General features: G+C 36.8%; 1 protein-coding gene across 2 annotated transcripts; it reads left to right on the plus strand.

Moving 5' to 3' along the window:
• On the plus strand, nucleotides 1889-6119 carry AGTR2 (angiotensin II receptor type 2). 2 transcript variants are annotated; one of them, NM_000686.5, is made up of 3 exons: nucleotides 1889-1961; nucleotides 2113-2172; nucleotides 3391-6119. In NM_000686.5, exon 3 carries the CDS (start codon nucleotides 3426-3428, stop codon nucleotides 4515-4517), a length of 1092 nt encoding a protein of 363 aa, NP_000677.2. In that variant the 5' UTR covers nucleotides 1889-1961; nucleotides 2113-2172; nucleotides 3391-3425; the 3' UTR covers nucleotides 4518-6119. The 2 variants fall into 2 exon arrangements, with proteins under 2 accessions (NP_000677.2, NP_001372553.1); NM_001385624.1 differs by lacking the exon at nucleotides 2113-2172.

Consider the following 22548-nt stretch of genomic DNA (forward strand, 5'->3'; position numbering starts at 1 on the left):
ACAATGTTCAAACTGTTTACCAAACAAACTTTATGATGGCCTATGCAAACCTTTGAATCCTACTGTATTTTTCACATAACGATGACTTCTCACTGATCTCATCTGCCTGTGTGCTACAGTATTGACTTTAATATTAATGGAGAAACAGACAGATATCAAAAGCCATGTGATTTGTCTCATGCCATTTGCAATTTTGTCTTCTGTCATCAACACTGACTTCTCCTTCCTTGTTCTGCTGAACTCCATACTTAGGTGCCCAGCTACTTCCTCAGAGCCTGCCCTCATTCTTTACCTGTGGCCTGCAGCATGGACAGGTGCATTCTTGCTGCTTATCTGAAAAATATGATCCACAGAAATAACTTGAATCTTTTTGCCCATTTAAAATGTGCTCTAGGTTCTCTGGTTCTCTGTACTAACTATAGAAAGCCATCTAGTCACAAGTTTCTCCTTCCTGTGGTCTCCATTTGGGCAATACAATTAAGAAAAATACGTTTCCCCACATAACAATTCTTCCAATTCTTTTCCCCTTCTTTGATGCTTTTATGATAGATTATGAATGGTCATCAGTGATTTTCTGTAAATGCCACGTTTCCTTTTTGCCAAGACAAAGAGTGAGACTAAGGGACCATCTAGTGCTTCCTCTTGTGGTATAGAGGCTAAACAGCGTGAGTTCTGATATTAGTTTCCTTTGATTTAAATGCAAGTGTCTTCATTTAATAGCTGTATGATCTCAGAAAAGTTATTAAACTCTATGAGTCCTAGTTTCCTGATTTGTAAAGTGGGGGCTAATATGAATAGCTTGTAATAGCACCTACCATATGCTAGGCATGATTTTAGGCACTTTAAACATATTAGCTCATTTAATTTTCCATTAGCTTATTTAAAATTCCTACTCTACGATGTAGGTAATTTATATCATTCTCCTTTCTCAGATGAGAAACTGAGACATGAAGAAGTAAAGTAACTTGGCCAAGGTCAGAATTAGTAAGTGGTAGAGCTGGGTTTGTAAAGCCAGGTAGTTGGATCCCAGAGGCTATTTACTAACCAGTGTGCTATATTGCCTCTCTATTAAATTATTGATGATAAATAACTCATCACAGTGTTCGGCACATAACATTTATTGTCAGCTAGTATTATCACTACCATCACCTGTTCTTATCTTTCTTCATTTTGTCACTCTTGCTTCTGCTGGATTGGTTGTGTAGTTTATTGCCCCCACTGCCACAAGAGACAGCAGCAACAGTGATCTAGGTTGAAATAGCTAGCGAATCCCTCTTCACTTTATGTGCTTTGTATTTAAACCACAAATATGACAGAGACCTATGAAAGGAGACTAAACCTCTTTTTGGTCGTGTAAAAATTATATTCCTGCAATCTCCAACCCTCCAGCAACAAGCCAACAAAAACTGCGCAAAGCAAGGGAGAAATTTTAGAAGTGGTAGACTTCAAGTAAAATTCCTACCATTCTTTAATAAACAGGGGTAAAAATTTCAGAAAGTAATGAAGGTTGTGAAAGCTGATGAACAAAGACTTTGCTACTATAATAAATTTCCTAGTCTCTACTCACTAATTTCTATTAGAATGCCAATATCAGGAAAAAAGGAAGAGAAAATTCTGTAAATAATTACTATATTTTTCTCCTACCAAGTAAGCCACTGACTTCAAAATTCTCTAGCACATTTGTGGAAACTTCATTTTTTTTGTTTGAGATTTATTTGAATGAGCTGTTATGATTGGAGACAGTGAGAATTTCAGATTAATGTTTTGCAGACAAAAAAAAACCTCTCTGGAAAGCTGGCAAGGGTTCATAAGTCAGCCCTAGAATTATGTAGGTTGAAGGCTCCCAGTGGACAGACCAAACATATAAGAAGGAAACCAGAGATCTGGTGCTATTACGTCCCAGCGTCTGAGAGAACGAGTAAGCACAGAATTCAAAGCATTCTGCAGCCTGAATTTTGAAGGTAAGTATGAACAATTTATATATAATTTACTTGGAAAGTAGAACATACATTAAATGAAAATATTTTTTATGGATGAACTTCTGTTTTTCCTGTGTTTTAACACTGTATTTTGCAAAACTCCTGAATTATTTAGCTGCTGTTTCTCTTACAGGAGTGTGTTTAGGCACTAAGCAAGCTGATTTATGATAACTGCTTTAAACTTCAACAACCAGTAAGTCTTCAAGTGGAATTTATTATTGATTCTTTTATGTTAATTTGTTAGGTCAAAAGAAAAATCTTTAGAGCAAAATAAAAGTTTTGCTCTTTATTAGGAGGTTCTTTAGATATTACACTTTTAATTGGGTAGCTTATTTGCATGTATTTTGAAACTATCTAAAGTAAATAGTGTTTCCTTTGTATGCTTATCTTTAGCTAATGTGTTTTTTTTTTTGGTTTTAAAATAATGCTTCTAGTGAAAAAAATCACAAAAACCTCAACACTGTAACGTTTGAGAGCAACGGCTATTCAGTTCGGTTAAACCGAAAAGAGAGAAAAAGAAAAATGATAAGACTATATCATGATTAATCATTGATGTTCATTTCTCATTTCACTGAGCAATCTAAACTACTTCTACTTGAACCTAACATAGGTTTGGCTGTTTTTTTCTTTATCTGATTTAATTGAAAATGGATTGTTTAGATATTAAATAGACCAAAATTAGATATCTATATCTAAAACTAATATTCTCTATTAAAAGGAGAAGACTTAGAAATATAAATATATTTCATAACTTCTTCTTAACTATATTATTATTGTGAAAACAATAGAAAAGTAAAACTAAAGGAATTATTTTTAATTATTAAAGACAAACCATGATTCCCCATCACAATATGTTCCTTTGGCATATTCTCTTTTAGTTTTTTATATACTTATTTTTTCCATTGCTTATGTTACTTATATTTTCCACAGCTGTAGTGATTTGTATGTAATTAGTTACTTAAATAGAGCATTTCTCTATGCAATAGCAAGCAGCAGTGTGGTTTCTAGAAAGTATACAAACAGAGATATATGCTCAAGTGTTTTTTGAAAGATTAACTTTTCTTACCTCTGGGTTTCTTATTTGTTTCACACATTTCCTGCCCTGACTAATCTTTTGAAATATTAATTTTCTTTAAATCTTTCAAAAACATCATAGAAAAGATGGGCAAAAGGTAGTTTTATTCAGAACTTTGAATCTCTGAAATGTCTTTTTTCTACTATCAGGAAAATTATTTCTCCTTTTTCAAGAGGTAAAATGAATTCTTGTTTTACAAGCCATGGCTCTGTTTCTTAATGTTTTCTATAATCACTCACTTTTTTTTTGCTTTTGACAAACATTCAAAATGCTAATGATTCAAGGATGTCCTCAGCTCTGTATGTGTTCTAAGAGTTCTATGTTTTTTCTCCACAGAAGGCATAAGAACTAGGAGCTGCTGACATTTCAATATGAAGGGCAACTCCACCCTTGCCACTACTAGCAAAAACATTACCAGCGGTCTTCACTTCGGGCTTGTGAACATCTCTGGCAACAATGAGTCTACCTTGAACTGTTCACAGAAACCATCAGATAAGCATTTAGATGCAATTCCTATTCTTTACTACATTATATTTGTAATTGGATTTCTGGTCAATATTGTCGTGGTTACACTGTTTTGTTGTCAAAAGGGTCCTAAAAAGGTTTCTAGCATATACATCTTCAACCTCGCTGTGGCTGATTTACTCCTTTTGGCTACTCTTCCTCTATGGGCAACCTATTATTCTTATAGATATGACTGGCTCTTTGGACCTGTGATGTGCAAAGTTTTTGGTTCTTTTCTTACCCTGAACATGTTTGCAAGCATTTTTTTTATCACCTGCATGAGTGTTGATAGGTACCAATCTGTCATCTACCCCTTTCTGTCTCAAAGAAGAAATCCCTGGCAAGCATCTTATATAGTTCCCCTTGTTTGGTGTATGGCCTGTTTGTCCTCATTGCCAACATTTTATTTTCGAGACGTCAGAACCATTGAATACTTAGGAGTGAATGCTTGCATTATGGCTTTCCCACCTGAGAAATATGCCCAATGGTCAGCTGGGATTGCCTTAATGAAAAATATCCTTGGTTTTATTATCCCTTTAATATTCATAGCAACATGCTATTTTGGAATTAGAAAACACTTACTGAAGACGAATAGCTATGGGAAGAACAGGATAACCCGTGACCAAGTCCTGAAGATGGCAGCTGCTGTTGTTCTGGCCTTCATCATTTGCTGGCTTCCCTTCCATGTTCTGACCTTCCTGGATGCTCTGGCCTGGATGGGTGTCATTAATAGCTGCGAAGTTATAGCAGTCATTGACCTGGCACTTCCTTTTGCCATCCTCTTGGGATTCACCAACAGCTGCGTTAATCCGTTTCTGTATTGTTTTGTTGGAAACCGGTTCCAACAGAAGCTCCGCAGTGTGTTTAGGGTTCCAATTACTTGGCTCCAAGGGAAAAGAGAGAGTATGTCTTGCCGGAAAAGCAGTTCTCTTAGAGAAATGGAGACCTTTGTGTCTTAAACGTGAGAGCAAAATGCATGTAATCAACATGGCTACTTGCTTTGAGGCTCACCAGAATTATTTTTAAGTGGTTTTAATAAAATAATAAAATTTCCCCTAATCTTTTCTGAATCTTCTGAAACCAAATGTAACTATGTTTTATCGTCCAGTGACTTTCAGGAATTGCCCATTGTTTTTCTGATATGTTTGTACAAGATTGTCATTAGTGAGACATATTTACAACCTAGAAGTAACTGGTGATATATCTCAAATTGTAATTAATAATAGATTGTGAATAATGATTTGGGGATTCAGATTTCTCTTTGAAACATGCTTGTGTTTCTTAGTGGGGTTTTATATCCATTTTTATCAGGATTTCCTCTTGAACCAGAACCAGTCTTTCAACTCATTGCATCATTTACAAGACAACATTGTAAGAGAGATGAGCACTTCTAAGTTGAGTATATTATAATAGATTAGTACTGGATTATTCAGGCTTTAGGCATATGCTTCTTTAAAAAAGCTATAAATTATATTCCTCTTGCATTTCACTTGAGTGGAGGTTTATAGTTAATCTATAACTACATATTGAATAGGGCTAGGAATATAGATTAAATCATACTCCTATGCTTTAGCTTATTTTTACAGTTATAGAAAGCAAGATGTACTATAACATAGAATTGCAATCTATAATATTTGTGTGTTCACTAAACTCTGAATAAGCACTTTTTAAAAAACTTTCTACTCATTTTAATGATTGTTTAAAGGTTTCTATTTTCTCTGATACTTTTTTGAAATCAGTAAACACTGTGTATTGTTGTAAAATGTAAAGGTCACTTTTCACATCCTTGACTTTTTAGATGTGCTGCTTTGATATATAGGACATTGATTTGATTTTTATTATTAATGCTTTGGTTCTGGGTTGTTTCCTAAAATATCTGGGTGGCTTAAAAAAAACTCTTTAACTTGTAATAAACCCTTAACTGGCATAGGAAATGGTATCCAGAATGGAATTTTGCTACATGGGGTCTGGGTGGGGGCAAAGAGACCCAGTCAATTACATGTTTGGTACCAAGAAAGGAACCTGTCAGGGCAGTACAATGTGACTTTGAAAATATATACCGTGGGGGTAGTTTTACCCTATATCTATAAACACTGTTTGTTCCAGAATCTGTATGATTCTATGGAGCTATTTTAAACCAATTGCAGGTCTAGATACCTCCTTCTCAGCACTATTAAAGCTCCTAAGTTAGAGGAGTGCCTAAAACTGAGTTACCTAAAGTTTACTTACATTAAAGTATGAATATTAATTTTAGAAATTTGAGACTTTATTCTGTACCAGCCCTGTATAATAACAGGTTATCTAGGACCTTCCTCTGAGGTAGGTCTAAATACTGATCTCTGAGGCGGAACTAACGTTTTGGGGACTCAGCATCTCTGCCAGGTTCCAGGATTATAGACAGAAGAGTCCTGTCATACCACTTTCTGGAAAAGTCCTAATTTCATGTAATCCTTTTATTTTCAATAAAAACAAATAGCTAAATGTATAACCAACTATGATGTTATGTTTTCAATAATTTTGTAAAACAGCTCATATAAATAAAATTTTTAATTGGAAGAACATTCGTGCTTTTAAAAATTTTTTTTAACTACTTCTAAGTATATATTCTACTTCTAAGTATTCTTACCTTCTCTTGTATCTGTATCCTCCATTTTATCTCCACTGATACTACTTAGTTTCAGCTCCGATTATTACTCACCTGGCCTCTTGCTATACTGTTCAAGTCTTCCTCTCTTGAGTATTGAGCCATAATTTCCCATTAGCTATGAAAGCAAAATCCAACTTTCTTCGAGTCTGCAAGACCTTGGGAGATGTGACTCTTCCTAGTCTTTCTGGACTTTTTCTCTCTGTCACACCTCTTCAAACCCTGTGTTTAAGCATCAAAAAATGACTTAATGCTTTTTAAAGCCTAATGCCCTTTCGTGCCTCTCTGCTGTTGTTCACACAGCTCCATCTTACTAAACACCCCTCCAATCATTCTCACCTCCTCAGGGCCTCACATTCAAGTGATGAAAATCTGCTCAACTTTCGACATTCAGCTCATGCTATTTCCTCTACCATAATAATAATTATTATACTAATTATAATACTACACCCCTAGAATTTCCTTTAATGAACAGAATTGCTTCTCTAGTTTTTGGGATGTTAAGCCTGATGTCTGCTTTTATAGAAGCCCAATGTTGAACCCTGAGTAGTAGCCTCCAAGTGGTTTTTCTTGGGACTAAGAAGAAATGCCAGTTGAGAGGATGGTACAAGAATGTGTGAACTCTTGCTTTAGGAATGTATGTACAAAAGTGTACTTGTCCGCTTTTCTCTTTGAAAATGCAAATTTCAGGTAAGCTTCTCAGATAACAAATGAAAATGTTTTTATTCTCATTCGGCCACTTTTCAAGGTATTATGTAATATCCTTTCTTTTTCATGACCCCACCTTTTCTCAAGTCACCCAACACAATGCCTGGGAAGTACATAACATAACAACAGGTATTATTAGATGAGCATTATGTGCTAAGCAATATTAAATATGCATTGTTCCATTTTATTCTAAAAATTACTCAATGATTATTATTTTACAAATAAGGAAACTGAGGCACAGATGATTCCTGACTAATCTTTAAATTTGGCTCTGACAGATGAATCAGGTAGTATCAATTATGTGATTTAGTACTTCAAATATAAATCCTAGGCCACCAAGCAGGTATTTCAGACAGTCTTACACACTCCTTCAACCTTCACCTTAAAGTTAGTACTTCAGTATCCATAACCTTGGTAATACAAGTGCTTCTGTAGGAAAAGATAGGAGGCAGACTGATGAGGCTTTCTCCCTTTTTCTTCACTGCCCTTTCTTTGTACTCCATACTGTATGGAACTACATAAAGTCACCACTATCCCCTGCTGCCCCCTCTACCCTGTACACAAAGCAAGACAGATATCTTAAATGTTTCCTTTAAGGAACAAACATGTTGATATGAACTTTAGCTCTTTGAAATGAGATTATATAGGGTTACCAGAGAAACTCATCTCTTGCATCTTGCAGAAGTAATGTGTATTTTTATTATGGAAAAGTAAATATTAATTATTTCCACATTTTATAGCCCTAAATCAGACCTACTAAATAGATTATTTTGCAAAATATCCTTTCTTCTGATTCTTTGAGGCATGCATCAAAATCAGAAGAAAATCTGAAAGTAAGCAAATTCTGTTTTGACTTTTTTTCTCTTTTGTTCCCCCACAGGAATCTGAGGATGGGAAACTGTCTGGTGTCCTCACATATCAACAAGAGAAAACTCCAAACTTGACAAGATGAGTTAACACATGAGATGTCTCAAGCAAGAAAGGGTTGAGGGTTGACGCAATAAGGATAATAGAACACTTATTTTGTTAATTCTCACATAAACTATAACAGCAGTGATAATTTATACAAAATAACAGAAATTCATAAATTATCACTAAAAATAATTATTTCACCTGCAGAAGACCAGTGGCCCAGAGATTAGTTAGCTCACTCCATACACACACCTACAAAGGGTTAGCACCCTCAAAAATAAATTCTTTCTTTTTGAACATTTTTTGGAATAAGATAATTCTTTCTAAATTTAAAAATAACTGATATATATTTCTTATTATAGAATCAATACTTATTCTTGAAAAATTTAACTATAGGGACAAAAATTAGCTACAGAGACGATCACCACTAATAGCATGGGGTAAAATTATTATATATACATACACACACCCACACAGAGTACATATAAATGGATAGATACAATTTATTTTTATCTCTATATCTTTATTCCTATTTCTTTCTCTTTTTTGTTTATTATCTATCAGATATGTTCCTTATCACTGTGTTGTACATTTATTTAAATATTTAAAATATTTTGACCCTAAACTCCCATCTGGTGTACTAGACATTTTTCTTTCTTTACTCATTTGGTCCTCCTTTCCTATGATAAGCCCCAAATCCCGAGAGCTTTAAGCAGTCCAAGAGATCACACCTGGTTATAATTTTCCAGTGAAAGAAAGTACTGGAAATTCTGATAAGTCTGCTAGCCCATTCTCTGCAACTGTTGTTGCTACATTATTTATCAGTTGGTCTGCATAAGAACAGATGTCTGAGTAGTCTCATGCAGACTTCTGTCCACTTAAGTAGTTTTGAAGTGATGTATGCACAAGCCACCTGATAACGATATAAGAGGGGAAAAAAGGAGGGCTCTTCCCTTTCTCCAGTGCTACACTCACCTATATCTGATGTGTGTCAAAGTAGACCTGGGCTCAAACACGTATTTCTGTTTTGCCACCTCCATGGAGCCAGGAGCGATCAGCAGAAACCCAGCTAGCGGAACATGCCATACAAGGAACCAGTCTTTTCTTTCCTCAAGTAAACATCTCCTGTGCAGCTGGAGTCACATTTCAAAATTTTCCTCAATAAAAAGGAGTATCCCTGATTGGGAGAGGAAGTGGGTAGTTGAGCTGTTGTTGCTTCTCCATGACATCAGTAGAGGCCATGTTAGTGCATAAGATATACTGAAATAACTTTGAACTTCTTTTTAAAAAGGAGTCTAATTCTTAATTCCTTTCCTCTCCAAAAGGAAACCTAAGTTCAACACACCAGTGTGTACAGAACACAGTTGGCACAAACCCATTTGCCTGAAAAATTGGAACCATCAAACTGTTGCCAAGCCCTGATATTTCCAGCTATAGCCTTCCTTCACCTATTTACATTCATATAACAAAAATGTACATGGAAGTGATTACAAAAAATTACAAAAAATCTTCTACTCCAACTATTTGTGATGTCCTAACAGCTTGAAACATTTGTGAATAACAGATTTGAAATGACACTTTTTCTATCTCCTAGAAAAAAGCAAAAGTATGCCTCATTGTATATGCTGTTATCTATTCTTATGGACTGAATTGCAACCTTCCCTCACACCAAAAATTCATATATTGAATTCCCAACCCCCAATGTAATGATATTTGGAATCTTTTTGGAGGTAATTAAGGTTAAAGGAAGTCATAAAGGTGAAGTCTTAATTTGATAGGACAGTAGTCTTGTAAGAAAAAAAGATACCTCTGTCTCTCTCTTCACACACTCACAATAAGAAAAGGCTATGTGAGTATATAGCAAGAAGGAAGCCATCTGGAAGACAGAAAGAGAACCCTCCAACATGCTGGCATACTAATTTTAAACTTTCAGCCTCCAAAACTGTGAGAAAATACATTCTGTTGTTTAAGTGACTCAGTCTATGGTATTTTGTTATAGCACCCTGATATGGTTTGGCTCTGTGTCCCCACCCAAATCTCATCTTGAATTGTACTCCCATAATTCCCTTGTGTTGTGGAAGGGACCAGGTGGGAGATAATTGAATTAGGGGGGCGGTTTTCCTCATACTGTTCTTGATATCTGATGGTTTGACAAGGATTTCCTCTTTTGCTTGGCTCTCATTCTCTCTTGCCGCCATCATGTAAGAAGTGCATTTCACTTTCTGCCATGATTGTGAGGCCTCCCCAGTCACATGCAACTGTAAGTCCATTAAACCTATGTTTCTTCTTAGCTTGGGTATGTCTTTATCAGCAGCATGAAAATGGACTAATACAGTAAATTGGTACCAGTAGAGTAGGGCACTGCTGAAAAAAATACCCAAAAGTGGAAGTGACTTCAAAACTGGGTAACAGGCAGAGGTTGGAAGAGTTTGCAGGGCTCAGAAAAAGGCAGGAAAATGTGGGAAAGTTGGAACTTCCTAGAGACTTGTTGAATGGCTTTGACAAAAATGCTGATAGTGATATGAACAATAAGGTCCAGGCTAAGGTGGTCTCAGATGGAAATGAAGAACTTGTTGGGAACTGGAGCAAAGGTGACTCTTGTTGTGTTTTAGCAAAGAGGCTGGCAGAATTTTGCCTCTGCCCTAGAGATTTGTGAAACTTTGAACTTGAGAGAGATGATTTAGGTTATCTGGCAGAAAAAATTTCTAAGCAGCAAAGCATTCAAGAGGTGATGTGGGTGCTGTTAAAGACATTTGGTTTTATAAGGGAAGCAGAACATAAAAGTTCTGAAAATTTGCAGCCTGACAATGTGATAAAAATAAAATCCCATTTTCTGAGGAGAAACTCAAGCCTGCTGCAGAAATCTGCATAAGTAACAAGGGGCTGAATATTAATCCCCAAGGCAATGGAAAAAATGTCTCCAGGGCATGTCAGAGGTCTTCATGGCAGCACTCCCATCACAGGCCCGGAGGCCTAGGATGGAAAAATGGTTAAGAGGGCTAGGCCTTGGGTCCCTGTGCTGAGTGCAGTCTAGGGACTTTGTGCCCTGCATCCCAGCCTCTCCAGTCATGACTAAAAGGGGCCAAGGTACAGCTCAGACCATGGCTTCAGAAGGTGCAATCCCCAAGCCTTAGCAGCTTCCACATGGTATCAAGCCTGTGAGTGCACATAAGTCAAGAACCGGGGTTTTGTAACCTCCGCCTAGATTTCAAAAGATGTATTGAAGCACCTGGATGCCCAGGAAGAAGTTTGCTGTAGGGGTGGGTCCTTCACGGACAACCTCCACTAGGGCAGTGTGGAAGGGAAATGTGGGGTCAGAGCCCCCACAGAGAGCACCTACTAGGGCACTGCCTACTGGAGCTGTGAGAAGAGGGCCACCGTCCTCCAGACCCCAGAATGATAAGTCCACTGACAGCTTGAACCATGCTCCTAGAAAAGCCACAGACATTCAATGACAGCCCATGAAGGCAGCTGGGAGGGAGACTGTACCCTGCAAAGCCACAGTGGGGAGCTTCACAAGACCATGGGAACCCACCCCTTGCATCAGCGTGACCTGGATGTGAGACATGGGGTCAAAGGAGATCATTTTGGAGCTTTACGATTTGACTGCTCCACTGGATTTTGGACTTGCATAGGGATGGTAGCCCCTTTGTTTTGGCCAATTTCTCCCATTTGTAATGACCGTCTTTACCTATTCCTGTACCCCCATTGTATCTAGGAAGTAAATAACTTGCTTTTGATTTTACAGGCTCATAGGTGGAAGGAACTTGCCTTGTCTCTGATAAGACTTTGGATTGTGGACTTTTGAATTAATGCTGAAATGAGTTAAGACTTCAGGGGAATGTTGGCAAGGCATGATTGGTTTTGAAATGTGAGGACATGAGATTTGACAGGGGCCAGGGGCAGAATGATATGGTTTGGCTCTGTGTTCCCACCCAAATCTCATTTTGAATTGTACTTTCATAATTCCCACGTGTTGTGGGAGGGATCTGGTGGGAGATAATTGAATCATGGAGGCAGTTTTCCCCACACTGTTCTCATGGTAGTGAATAAGGCTCACGAGATCTGATGGTTTAATTAGAGGTTTCCCCTTTTGCTTGGCTCTCATTCTCTCTTGCCACTGCCATGTAAGAAGTGCCTTTCACCTTCCACCATGATTGTGAGGCCTCCCCAGTCATGTGCAACTATAAGTCCATTAAACCTATCTTCCCTGTCTTTATTGTTATAATATTATAATAATGTCTTTATTAGCAGAGTGAAAATGGACTAGTACATAGCCCAAGCATATTAAGAAACATTTTGATACCGAGTGTGGTACTAGAAAACATAATTTTAAGGGTGAGTTTTCTGGATTGGTTCTGGAGTTTCTGAAGTTGGTTCTCTAATCTGATTACATTTAAAGGTGTTAATGATTATTTCCAGTGGTAAAGAGAGCACTGATAATGCACGATGGGAACTACCAATGGAGACATACAGAATATCACCAATAAAGTGGGTTATTTTTTCTGAGATAGCTGCCTAGGAGTACTTCACACATGCCTCATCCACTTGAAGGAATCAGCATAGTGTGTAGGAAGTCACATTTTGAGTGAATTTTTCAAGAGAGCACATGAGAGTTCAATGGAAATGCAAGGAGAAACTCAAAAATGAGGAGAGGTGAAGGAGGATAGTCAGCTTGTGTAGCTGAGACCAGCCAGAATGTGGAAGTAAATCCCCAGTATAGAAGAGAGTAAGTAAATGTCTTTCTGTGGTCTACCTTATCACAGGGGAAATCATATAATCTAGTCCTTGGGAGTGCACCTTGATCCTCCCAAGCCCTGAATCTGAATTGGAGAATGGCCAGGAGGCTATGAGAAGGAACTGCTCCAGGGAGGTTACACATTCCGTGTCCCATATTCTCCTTAAGTGGCTACAATAAAATGTTACTATCAATCCTAGTTTTTAACAATCTGGGCATGCTCCAGGGAAGAGGGGCCCCAGTCCTGAACATTAAGGAAACTTGGGCCCCTGCAACCAGGACTGAAAAGCCAGCTTAGAGAGGGCTTCAGCTGCCAGTGCTGGAGCCAGACAACACCCCTGGGTCCTGAGCAGGACAAGAGTTGCTGCAAAGGCTAGGTTCTGAGCTGGATGGCTGCTTCTATGGCCCAGGGCTGAGTTATAAGCTAGGTGTGAACTACCTACATTGACTGAACTACAGTGTGGGCTATGAGAGCCAGGACAGGGCAGGGAGCCCCACCTGGACTGGGGTGTGGAGGAGATATGGGTTCTACACTCACTGGCCAAGGCTTCAACTGCAAGGACCAGTGGCTCAACCTGCCTCCCACAACTTTGACAGGGTTAGGGTTACCCCTAACCCAAGCATTTCACTAGGGATCTGAGGACTTTCCTACCATCTCCGTCATAGCTGGAGTATGCAATCACCATTTGTTGGGGCTTGGGAAGCTGAGCACAGGTTTTCCTGGTCCAGCTCCAGCCGGCTTTTCCCCATCTACTGAGACAGGATGCAAAATCCAGGCTTCTGGAGGTTCCACACTCCAGCCCACTGCCTGGGGCACCTAAGCACTTTATCCAGGTCAGAGGTTGAGTATAAATATATTGCTGCTACCACCTCAGCTGGCCTGTACCTGCAAGCACCATCTACTGGCTTAGAGGCTGGCCCACACAGCCCATTGCAAACACTCCCAACACAAAAGCACAGCAGTTGAGAACTGGGAAAGCATCGCACTACAACTGCTACTGCCATTAACCACATTGTCCTGGATGCCCAAGAGCTTAAGAGCCCACTTACCTACCTGGTACACTGCTACTACAACTGACATCTGAGAAAGCCACCCAAAGGAACAAGAATTTCCCTGTCTGGAACCAACAGAATTGTCACTATATTCTGTACCAGATCCCAAGGATACACATGCTTAGCTTACTATTACTACCACTGAAACTTGCAAAAGAACCCATCAAGCATTCCATTCCCCAGCACAAATTCATCAGTTTCTATCAATAACCTCACAATGCCACACAGAGGAATAGACAGATACTACTAAGGCTGTTTATAGCCAATGAAATCATACACAGTCTTCACCATTACATGGACCCAGAAGCAAAGCCAAATGGCCCTACCCTACCAACATCATAGCCACATCATCAAGAAAAAGTTTCCCTCAAACAAAAGAAAATAAGAAGAAGTTACTGTTGTTTCATATGTGCAGAAATCAATGTAAAGACACAGGAAACAAAAAAGCAAAGTAATATGACACCTTCAGAAGAAAACAATAATTCTCCAGTAATAGATCCTTACCAAAAAGAAATCATCAAAATTTCAGGTATAAAATTCAAACTATTAATTTTAAAGAAGCTCAATGAGATGCAAGAGAAACCTGAAAACCAATAAAAATAAAGCAGAAAATAAAGTCAGGACATTAATGAGAAATTTACCAAGATATATATATATTTTTAAATGTCAGTCAGAAATTCTCGAAGTAAAAAATTTATTGAAGGAATTACAAAATACTTTTGAAAACCTGAATAGACTAGATCAAGAAGAAGAGAGAATCTCAGAATTTGAAGATGGGTCTTTTAAAATAATCTGATCAGACAAATTATAGAAAAAAAGATTTTAAAAGAATGAACAAAGTTCAAGACATATGGGACTGCATAACATGACCAAACAAGAATATTGGTATTCATGGTAGGGAATAAAGATAAAAAATTTTAGTAAACCTATTTAACAAAATAATTGATAAAACTTTCTAAGTCTAGCAAGAGATTCAGATATCCAGTAATAGAAGTGATCCCCAGATAAAGACATTGCAAAAAGTACTTCACCATGGCATATTATTTTCAGACTGTCTAAAGTCAAAGTAAAAGAAAGAGTTCTAAAATCAGCAAGAGAAAAGCCTCTAGTCACCTGTAAAGGAAACATCATCACACAAAGACTAACAGTGAACTTCTCAAACCTTACAGGCCAGAAGAGAATAGAATGACATATTCAAAGTGCTGGAAGAAAAAACTGCTAGACAAGAATTATGGATCCAGCAAAATTAAGCTTCATAAATCAATGAGAAATGACATTTTTCCAGACAAGTAAATGCTGAGGGACTTTATCACCACAAGACTCATTCTACAAGAAATGCTCAAAGGAGTCTTAAACTTGGAGATGAAGATGTAATATTCATCATCATGAAAACACATTAAACTATAAAATGCATAGTAAAGAATCACAGAAAGGAGAAGGAGAAAGGAATCAAGTGGCAACAGTGCAGGATTTAATCAAACCACAAAGACTAATAGATAAAGAGAGAAACAAATAATTTATAAAACAACTAGAAAAGAATTAACAATATGAGAGAAGCAAAATCTCACATATCAATAATAACCTTAAACCTAAATGGATTAAAATCTCCACTTACAAATTTACAAGAAAAAAACAAACAACCCCATCAAAAAGTGGGTGAAGGATATGAACAGACACTTCTCAAAAAGAAGACGTTTATGCAGCCAACAGACACATGAAAAAATGCTCATCATCACTGGGCATCAGAGAAATGCAAATCAAATGAGATATCATCTCACACCAGTTAGAATGGTGATCATTAAAATGTCAGGAAACAACAGGTGCTGGAGAGGATGTGGAGAAGTAGGAACACTTTTACACTGTTGGTAGGAGTGTAAACTAGTTCAACCATTGTGGAAGACAGTATGGCGATTCCTCAAGGATCTAGAACTAGAAATACCATTTGACCCAGCCATCCCATTACTGGGTATATACCCAAAGGATTATAAATCATACTGCTATAAAGACACATGCACACATATGTTTATTGCAGCACTATTCACAATAGCAAAGACTTGGAACCAACCCAAATGTCCATCAATGATAGACTGGATTAAGAAAATGTGGCACATATACACCATGGAATACTATGCAGCCATAAAAAATAATGAGTTCATGTCTTTTGTAGGGACATGGATGAAGCTGGAAACCTTCATTCTGAGCAAACTACCGCAAGGACAGAAAACAAAACACCACATGTTCTCACTCATAGGTGGGAATTGAACAATGAGAACACATGGATACAGGAAGGGGAACATCACACACTGGGGCCTGTTGTGGGGTTGGGGGAGGGGGAGGGATAGCATTAGGAGATATACCTAATGTAAATGACGAGTTAATGGGTGCAGCACACCAACATGGCACATGTATACATATGTAACAAAGCAGCACGTTGTGCACATGTACCCTAGAACTTAAAGTATATATAAAAAGAAAGATATAGATTTGTGTTACTGATTTTTAAAAGATCCAACTATATGCTGCTTGCAGAAACTCATATTACCTCTAAAGGCAAATGGAGACTTAAAATGAAGGGTGAAAAAAGATATTCACATAAACAGAAACCAAAATTAAGCAGGAGTAGCTAAACTTATATAAGATAAAAGAGACTTTAAATAAATAAATAAAACAGAAAAAAAGACAAAGAAAGGCATTATATAATGATAAAGGGATTGATTCTTCATTGGGATAGAATAATTATAAATATATATGCACCTAAGAACAGAGTATCCAGATTCATAAAACAAGTATTACTGGACCTAAAGAGATAGACAGACAGTGATATAATAATAGTGGGGGATCTAAACACTCCACTCACATTACCAGACAGATCATTGTGACAGAAAATCAATAAAGCAACTTTGGACTTTAGCTGGACTTTAGACCAAATAAACCTAACACATATTTACAAAACATTATTACTAACAAATGCAGAATATACATTCTTTACATCAGCTCATGAAACATTCTTTAGGATAGACAATATGTTAGGCAATAAAACCAGCCAACAAATTTTATAAAATCAAAATCATATCAAGTATCTTCTCAGATCACAGTGGAATAAAACTAGAAATCAACATTTAGAGAAATTTAAAAAACTATAAAAATACATGGATATCAAACAAACCTGCTCCTGAGCAATCATTGAGTCAACAAGAAAATCAAGAAAGAAATTTACAAAATTTTAATGAAACAAATAAAAATACAAACAATATACCAAAACTTGTGAGATACAGCAAAAGCAGTGGTAAAAGGCACTTTTATAGCATTAAATTCAACATCAAAAGAGTAGAAAGATTACAAATTAACCTAATGTCACACCTCAAGGAACTAGTAAAACAACAACAAACAAATCCCAAAGTTAGCAGAAGAAAGGATATAACAAAGGCCAGAACAGATCTAAATAAAACTGAGACCAAAAATTTACAAAGGATCAATAATACAAAAAGTTGCTCCTTTAAAAAGGCAAAGAATTGATAAACCAATAGCTCAACTAACCAAGAAAAGAAAAAATCTAAACAAACAAAATCAGAAATGAAAAAGGAGACATTATGACTGATGCCACAGAAATACCAAAGGCCAGCAAAGACTATACTGCACGACTATACATTGAAGCTAGAAGACCTAGAGAAAATGAATAAATTGCTGGAAACAAAACCTCCCAAAACTGAACCAGAAAGAGGTAGAAAACTTGAACATGCTGATAATAAATAGCAAGAATGAATCAGTAAGAAAAATATTGTTCAATAAAGAAAAGCCCAGGATCAGATATATTCACAGCTGAATTCTAACAAACATATAAAGAAGAGCTAATATCAATCTTCCTGAAACTGTTTCAAAAAATTAAGAAGGAGGGAAATTTCTCTAACTGATTCTATGAGGCTGGTATTAGTATGATACCAATATCAGACGAGAAGAAAACAATAAAAGAAAACTACAGAGCAATCTTCTTGACGAAAAAAGACCCAAAAATTTTTTCCAGAACTTTTTCTTTCTTCTTCTTATTATTTCAATAGTGTTGGGGAAACAGGTAATGTTTGGTTACATAAATAAGTTATTTACTGGTGATTCCTAAAATTTTGGTGCACCCATCACCCGAGCAGTGTACACTGTACCCAGTGTGTAGACTTTTATTCCTCATACCCCAACCTATCCCTCCCCTTGAGTCCCCAGAGTCCATTATATCATTCTTATGTTTTTGTATCCTCATAGCTTAGCTCCCACTTATAAATGAGAACATATAATGTTTGGTTTTCCATTCCTGAGTTACTTCACTTAGAATAGTGGTCTCCAACTCCATTCAGGTTGCTGCAAATGCCATTATTTCATTTCTTTTTATAGCTGAGTAGTATTTCATGGTGTGTGTTTGTGTGTGTGTGTGTGTGTGTGTGTGTGTATTTTACACATTTTATTTATCCACTCATTGGTTGATGGGCAATTAGGCTGGTTCCATACTTTCACAATTGTGAATTATGATGCTATAAACATGCTTTTGTAAGTGTCTATTTCATATAATGACTTTTTTCCCCCTCTGGGTAAATACCCAGTAGTCGGATTGTTGGATCAAATGGAAGTTCTATTTTTAGTTTTTTAAGGAGTCTCCATACTGTTTTCCATAGGGGTTGTACTAGTTTACATTCCCACTATCAGTGTAAAAGTGTTCCCTTTTCATCACATCCACACCAACATATATATATATATAAAATATGTATATAATATATATATTATATATAATATATATATTATATATATAATGGTCCATTTTTGTGTAGTAAGGTGGTATTGCATTGTGGTTTTGTCTTGCATGTCCCTGATAATTAGTGATGTTGAGCATTCTTTTTTTTTTTTTTTTTTTTTTTTGAGACGGAGTCTCGCTCTGTCGCCCAGGCCGGACTGCGGACTGCAGTGGCGCAATCTCGGCTCACTGCAAGCTCCGCTTCCCGGGTTCACGCCATTCTCCTGCCTCAGCCTCCCCAGTAGCTGGGACTACAGGCGCCCGCCACCGCGCCCGGCTAATTTTTTGTATTTTTAGTAGAGACGGGGTTTCACCTTGTTAGCCAGGATGGTCTCGATCTCCTGACCTCATGATCCACCCGCCTCGGCCTCCCAAAGTGCTGGGATTACAGGCGTGAGCCACCGCGCCCGGCCAGATGTTGAGCATTCTTTAAGATGTTTGTTGGCCATGTGTATATCTTCTTTTGAGAATTGTCTATTCATGTCCTTAGTCCACTTTTTGATGATATTATTTGTGTTTTTCTTTCTAATTTGTTTCAGTTTCTTGTAGATTATGGATATTAGTCCTTTGTCAGATGCACAGTTTGAGAATATTTTCTCCCACTCTATGGGTTTTCTGTTTACTCTGTTGATTATTTCTTTTGCTGTGCAGAAGATTTTTAGTTTAATTAAGTCCCATCTATTTATTTTTGTTTTTGTTGCATTTGCTTTTGGGTTCTTGGTCGTAAACTCTATGCCTCAGCCAATGTCTAGAAGAGTTTTTCTGATGTTATCTTCTAGCATTTCTATGGTTTCCAGTCTTAGATTTAAATCTTTGATCCATTGTGAGTTGATTTCTGTATAAGGTGAGAGATGAGAATTCAGTTTCATTCTTCGACATGTGGCTTGCCAATTATCCCAGCACCATTTGTTGAATAGGGTATCTGTTCCCCATTTTATGTTTTTGTCTGCCTTTTCAAAGATCCATTGGCTGTAAGTATTTGGCTTTATTTTTTGGTTCTCTATACTGCTCCATTGATCCATGTGCCTATTTTTATAAAAGTACCATGCTGTTTTGGTAACTATGCCCTTGTAGTATTTTTTAAATTCGAGTAATGAGATGCCTTCCAATTTGTTCTTTTTGCTTAGTCTTGTTTTGGCTATGCAGCTCTTTTTTGGCTCCATATAAACTTTAAGATTTTTTTTCTAGTTCTATGAGGAATAATGATGGTATTTTAATGGAAATTGCTTGAATTTATAGATTGCTTTTGGCAGTATGGTCATTTTCACAATATTGATTCTACCCATCCATGAGCATGAGATGTGTTTCCATTTGTTTGTGTCATTTATGATTTCTTGCAGTAGTGTTTTGTAGGTTTCCTTATAGAGATCTTTTACCTCCTTTGTTAGGTGTTTTACTAAGTATTTTATTTTTTTGCAACTTTTGTAAAAGGGGTTCAGTTTTTGATTTGATGCTCAGCTTGGTCGCTGCTGGTGTATAGCACTGCTACTGATTTATATACATTGATTTTGTGTCCTGAAACTTTACTGAATTCGTTTGTCAATTCTAGGAGCCTTGTGGATGAATCTTTATGGTTTTTTAGGTATATGATCATATTATAAGCAAACAGTGACTATTTGACTTCCTCTTTACTGATTTGGATGCCCTCTATTTCTTTCTCTTGTCTAATTGCTTCGGCTAAGGACTTCTAGTACTATGCTGAATAGAAGTGGTAAAAATGGGTATCCTTGTCTTGTTCCAGTTCTCAGAGGGAATGCTTTTAACTTTTCCCCATTCAGTGTAATGTTGGCTATTGGTTTGCCATAGATGGGTTTTATTACTTTAAGATATGTTCCTTCTACGCTGATTTTGCAGAGGAGTTTAATCATAAAGCAATGATGTATTTTGTCAAATGTTTTTCTGCATCTATTGAGATGATCATAGGATTTTTGTTTTTATTTCTGTTTATGTGGTGTATCACATTTAATAACTTGTGTATGGTGTATGTTAAACCATCCCTGCATCTGTGAGATGAAACCCACTTGATTATTGTGTATTATCTTTTTGATATGTTGTTGGATTTATTTAGCTAGTATTTTGTTGGTGATTTTTGCACCTGTGTTCACTAGGTATATTGGTCTGTGGTTTTCTTTTTTTGTTATGTCCTTTTCTGATTTGGATATTAGGGTGATACTGGCTTTATAGAATGATTTAGGGAAAATTTCCTCTTTCTCCAGCTAATGGAACAGTTTCAGTAAGATTGGCACCAATTCTTCTTTGAATGTCTGATAGAATTCAGCTGTGAATCCATCTGGTTCTGGACTTTTACGTTGACAATTTTTTTATTACTGTTTCAATCTTGCTACTTGTTATTAATCTGCTCAGAGTTTCTGTTTATTCCTCGTTTAATCTAGGAGGATTATATATTTCCAGGAATTCATCCATCTCCTCTATATTTTTTCGTTTGTGCACATAGGGGTGTTCATAGTAGCTTTGAATGATCGTTTTGTATTTCTGTGGTATTAGTTGTAATATCTCCCATTTTGTTTCTAATTGAGCTTATTCAGATCTTCTCTCTTTACTTGATTAATCTCGCAAATGGTCTATCAACTTTATCTTTTCAAAGAACTTGCTTTTTAAAAATTATACTTTTAGTTCTGAGATACATGTGTAGAACGTGCAGGTTTGTTACATAGGTATACATGTACCATGGTTGTTTGTTGCACCCATCAACCTGTCATCTACATTAGGTATTTCTCCTAATGCTATCCCTCCCCTAGCTCCCCACCCCCCGACAGGCCCAGTTTCCAGCTTCATCTATGCCCCTGCAAAAGACATGAACTTATCCTTTTTTATGGCTGCATAGTATTCCATGGTATATATTTGCCATATTTTCCTTATCCAGTCTATCACTGATGGACATTTGAGTTGGTTGCAAGTCCTTGTTATTTTGAATAGTGCTGCAATAAACTTACATGTGCATGTGTCTTTACAGTAGAATGATTTATAATCCTTTGGGTATTTGCCCAGTAATGGGATTGCTGGGTCAAATGGTATTTCTGGTTCTAGATCCTTGAGGAATTGCCACACTGTCTTCCACAATGGTTGAACTAATTTACACTTCCACCAATGGTGTAAAACCATTCCTGTTTCTCCACATCCTCTCCAGCATCTGTTGTTTCCTGACTTTTTAATGATTGCCATTCTAACCGGCATGATATGTCATCTCATTGTGGTTTTGATTTGCATTTCTCTAATGACCAGTGATAATGAGCTTTAATGGCCAGTGATAATGAGCTTTTTTCTCTTATGTCTGTTGGCCACATAAATGTCTTCTTTTGAGAGGTATCTTTTCATATTTTTCACCCACTTTTTGATGGGGTTGTATTTTTTTTTGTAAATTTGTTTAAATTCTTTGTAGATTCTGGGTATTAGTCATTTGTGAGATGGGTAGATTGCAAATATTTTCTCCCATTCTGTAGGTTGCCTATTTACTCTGATGATAGTTTATTTTGCTGTGCAGAAGCTCTTTAGTTTAATTAGATCCCATTTGTCAATTTTTACTTCTGTTGCCATTGCTTTTGGTGTTTTAGTCATGAAGTCTTTGCCCATGCCTACAAGCTACCTGACTTCAAACTATACTACAAGCTTATAGTAACCAAAACAGCATGGTACTGGTAGCAAAACAGATATATAGACCAATGGAACAGAACAGATACCTCAGAAATAACACCACACATCTACACCCATCTGATCTTTGACAAACCTGCCAAAAACAAGCAACAGGGAAAGGATTCCCTATTTAATAAATGGTGTTGGAAAAACTGGCTAGCCATATGCAGAAAACTGAAACTGGATCCCTTCCTTACACCTTATACAAAAATTAACTCAAGATGGATTAAAGACTTAAATGTAAGACCTAAAACCATAAAAACCCTAGAAGAAATCCTAGGCAATGCCATTCAGGACATAGGCATGGGCAAAGACTTCATGATGAAGAAACAGCTTTTTATTTCATTTATGTTTTGTATTTTTTTATTTCAATTTCTTTTAGTTCTGATCTGATCTTTGTTATGTATTTTCTTCTGCTGTGTTTGGATTTTTTTTCTTGTTTCCCTAGTTCCTTGATGTGTGAGTTTAGATTGCTTTTTTATCTTTTAGACTTTTTGATGTAGACATTTA

Source organism: Homo sapiens, chromosome X (genome assembly GCF_000001405.40).
Source record: "Homo sapiens chromosome X, GRCh38.p14 Primary Assembly".
NCBI classification, from domain to species: Eukaryota; Metazoa; Chordata; class Mammalia; order Primates; family Hominidae; genus Homo; species Homo sapiens.

Bases quoted from the DNA above. Each gene is read 5' to 3' on its own strand.
- AGTR2 (NM_000686.5), top strand. From the start codon at position 3,426: ATGAAGGGCAACTCCACCCTTGCCACTACTAGCAAAAACATTACCAGC.